Genomic DNA, 4,655 nt, shown 5'->3' on the forward strand with positions numbered 1-4,655 from the left:
TCAACAAATGGGGTTGGAAATACTGGATATCCACATGCAAAAGAATGAAGTTGGACCTTTCCCCTACCTTCTACTCACTCAAAATCTATTGGAAACCTACATGTAAGAGTTAAAACTAAGAAACTCTTAGAAGAAGACATGGGGGGAAGCTTTATGACATTGGATTTGGAAATGCTTTCTTGGATAGGACACCATAAGCACAGACAACAAAAGAAAAAAATGGAACTTCATAAAAATTAAAAACTTGTATGCATCAAAGGACACGATCAACAGAGTGAAAAGCCAACTACGACATGCAGAATGGGAAAAAGTATTCGAAAATCATATATCTGGTAATGGGTTAATATCCAGACTACATAAAGAACTCCTACAACTCAACAACAACAACAAAAAGAACAAACAACACAATTAAACCATGGGCAAAGCAGGAGTTTGAGACTAGCCTGGGCAACATAGGGAAACACTGTCTCTATAAAAAATAAAAAATTAGCCTGGCTTGTGATGCACACTTGTGGTCCCAGCTATTTGGGAGGCCAAGAGGGAGGATTACTTGAGCTTGGGAGGTCGAGGCTGCAGTGAGCCGTGATCGCCCCACTGCACTCTAGCTGGGCAACAGACTGAGACCCTGTCTCTAAAAAACAAAAAATTAAACTAAACCAATAAAATAGGGAAATTATGACACACACTACCACATCAATGAATCTTGAAGACATTATGCCAAGTGAAATGAGCCAGCAAAAAATGACAAACGATTCCACATATATGAGACACCTGGGGTGGTCAAATTCATACTGACAGAAAGTAAAATGGTGGTCACCATGAGCTGGGGGAAGGGAGGAATGAGGAGCTGTTGTTTAATGGATAAAGAGACTTAGTTTTGGAAGATGACAAAGTACTGGAGGTGGACAGTGACGACAGTTGCAGGACAAGGTGAATGCACCTAATGCCACTAAACTGTACACTGACAATGGTTAAAATGGTAAATTTCATGCTATGTAAATTGAAAAAAAAATCACAGGAAACAACTAAGAGAAGACAAAGTTCTGAAGCATTCAAGTCCTTAGTTCCAGCTGCATCCTTGTCCCAGGTTCCACAAAGCACTCGTTTCTCTAGTTGGTTTCTGTTGCTTGCAACCAAAGTACTTCAGAGATCCCCAATGAGATCAGGACTTGAAAAATGTAGTTCTATCTCACCTTTGAAATGAGATGATTATTGATGAAATATAAATAAATATATAGACAGGAAAAAAGGATTATAATTCTTGTAAATTCGTCTCTGGGTTAGTTACCATGGTCTACCCCACTGCATATATAATAGTCCCTTTGTGCAAGTGAGTTGGTTGAATTCAGGGTGTGAAATAAGAGATTACAAAGTCCCCAAATTAACCTAGGATAGAAAAAAATGCTTGCCCTAGAAACTAGCTACCATAATTTTGTAGCAACTGAGAGATTGAGCCAGGAAAACATATTAGCACATCTGCAAGTTTGCACTACCTGAACCCTTCTCAGTAACCATGGTAACTACCAATATGTGGGTAAAAGTGAAACAAAGGCATTAACTTTTAATGCCTGTATAGCTAGTTTAATCAGTGTTTGCCTGAACACTAGACATTTTTACCAAAAAGAAAAAGTAAAGACTAAACAATAGAATTTTAACAAGGACATTATGAATTGCAACAAAAATCAGAACCTGTGAATAATTAAAACTAAAATGTTTCAACCTTGAAACTAACCAATAATAGGGACTCTGAAGTTTACAGAAACAAACGATTTTTTAAGAAGGACATATATAGAACATTAATGAGGATGAGTACACTATAAATGAAAACAAAACTGGAAGTTACGCATTAAATTAAAGCCATGTTTCAACCTTGAGATGGTTTAAATCTAACTAATACTGTGGACTCTTAATAAAAAAAAAAAGAGAGAGATTTTATAAAAATAATCTCACTGCCCAATGCCCTCTACCTCAAAAAACAGTTGCTTCAAAATGCAACAGAATGTTCTAAGGTACTGGTAACATTTTAGCTCCTAAACTGAGTGTTAGGAGCGTAAGTGTTGACCTTATTCTCCTTTTGATTTTACATGTACGTTAAATACCATCTTTTGCATCTAAAATTTATTTCATAATAAAAAATTTATAAGACAGAATAGATAGAAGACGCTCCCTTTCAAAACATAAGGCCTAGGCCTTAGGCCAAAATAGAGTAGGGCAGAATAAAAGTTGCAGCTCATAGGAAAAGAAATTCCAGGAGACTGATTCTTAGAGTCACCAGGAGGGCTTGTTAAAGACACATGCTGCCAGGTCCCACCCCAGAGTTTCTGATCAGCAGATCTGGGTGGTCCTGAGAATCTGCATGCCTAACAATTTCCCAGGTGATGCTGCTGCTCTGGGGACCACACCTCCCACCTTGGAAATCTGTGCCCTGGATCATTCCGTGTTAAACCCACTCCACCATCTTCATTTGTTCTAGCCTTCTATTTTACTGGGTCAAACTAATTAGATGCCACAATGGACTGACTTTTACTATCAAAGACTATTTTTTTCCAGCTTTACTGAGGTACAATTGATTAAAAGTGTATATATTTCAGGTGTACAGTGTCATGCTTTTTGTTCGCTCATTTTGAGACACCGTTGCCCAGGCTAGAGTTCAGTGGTGCAATTACAGCTCACTGCAGCCTGGACCTCCCTAGCTCAAGCGACCCTCTAGCCTCAGCTCCCCAAATAGTTGTGACTACAGGTGCGCACCACCATGTCTGGCTAATTTTTTTATTTTTTGTAGAGACAGGGTTTTGCCATGTTGCCCAGGCTGGTCTCAAACTCCTGAGCTCAAGTGATCCGCCTGCCTCAGCCTCCCAAAATGCTGGGATTGCAGGCGTGAACCACGGTGCCCAGCTACAGTGTCCTGTTTTGATGTATGAATACCTTGTGAAGTGATTACCACAATCAAGCTAATTAACACATCCATCACCTCACAGGTTACCATTGTTTGAATGTGGTGAGAACACCTAAGATCTACTTTTTAAAAAAATTATTATTATTGTGCTTAATAGTTTTGGGAGTAGAGGTGGTTTTTGGTTACATGAATGAGTTCTTTAGTGGCGAATTCTGAGATTTCAGTGTGCCCATCACCAAGCAGGGTACACTGTACCCAATATGTAGCCTTTTTTCCCTCCCCACCCTCCCAAACTCCCTCCCCCATGTCCCCGAAGTCCATTATATCACTCTGTATGTCTTTGCATCCTCATAGCTTAGCTCCCACTTATAAGTGAGAACATCTGGTATTTGGTTTTCCATTCCTGAGTTACTTCCCATAGAATAATGGCCTCTAGCTTCATCCAAGTCACTGCAAAAGACACAATTTCATTCCTTTTTATGTCTGAGTCATATTATATGATGTATATATACCACATTTTCTTTATCCACTGGTTGGTTGATGGGCCCTAAGGTTGGTTCCATATCTTTGCAAATGCAAATTGTGCTGCTATAACCATGCATGTGCATGTCTCTTTTTCATGTAATGACTTCTTTTCCTTTGGGTAGATACCCAGCAATGAGACTGCTGGATCGAATGGTAGATCTAGTTTCAGTTCTTTAAGGAAGCTCCATACTGTTTTCCATAGTGGTTGTACTAATCTACATTACCACCAGCAGTGTAAGTGTTCCCTTTTCACCACATCCATGCCAACGTTTTTTTTTTTTTCACTTTAATTATGGTTTTGTGGGGGGTGGGGGGGGTTGGTTGTAGGTTTTTGTTGTTGTTGTTGTTTTGTTTTGTTTTGTTTTTGACAGTCTCGCTCTGTTACCCAGGCTGCAGTACAGTGGTGCGATCTCAGCTCACTGCAGCTTCCACCTGGGTTCAGGCAATTCTCTTGCCTCAGCTTCCCAAGTGACTCGGATTACAGCAGTGTGCCACCACGCCCAGCTAATTTTTGTATTTTTAGTAGAGACAGAGTTTTGCCATGTTGGCTAGGCTGGTCTGGAACTCCTGACCTCAAGTGATCCACCAGCCTTGGCTTCCCAAAGTGCTAGGATTACAGACATGAGCCACCACGCCCAGCCTGACTTTAATTATGGCATTCTCACAGGAGTAAGGTGGTATCTCACTGAGGTTTTAATATGTATTTCCCTGATGATTAGTGATGTTGAGCACCTTTTCATATGTTTGTTGGTTGTATGTATAGTAAGATCTGCTTTCTAAGCAAATTTCAAATACACAATAGAGTATTATTAACTATAGTCACAATGCTGTACATTAGATTTCTAGGGCTTATTCATCCTACATAACCAAACTTTGTATCTTTTTACCAGTATCTCCCCATGCCCACCTCCAGCTTCTGGCAACCATCATTCTACTCTCTGCTTTTGTGAATTCAGCTTTTTAGAATTCCACATGTAACAGATCATGTAGTCTTTGTCCTTCTGTGCCTGGCTTATTCCACTTAGCATCTTGTCCTCCAGGTTCATCTATGTTGTCACAAATGGTAAGATTTCCTTCTTTTTTTAAGGCTGAATTTACAATAGAATATTGTACAATAGAATACTATTGTACAATAGAATACTGCTGCAATGAACATACATAGGACAGATATCTCAGATATCACTTTGAGATACTGATCTCATTTCCTTTGACTATATACCCAGAAGTGGTAATG

Source organism: Homo sapiens, chromosome 9, assembly GCF_000001405.40.
Source record: "Homo sapiens chromosome 9, GRCh38.p14 Primary Assembly".
NCBI lineage: Eukaryota > Metazoa > Chordata > Mammalia > Primates > Hominidae > Homo > Homo sapiens.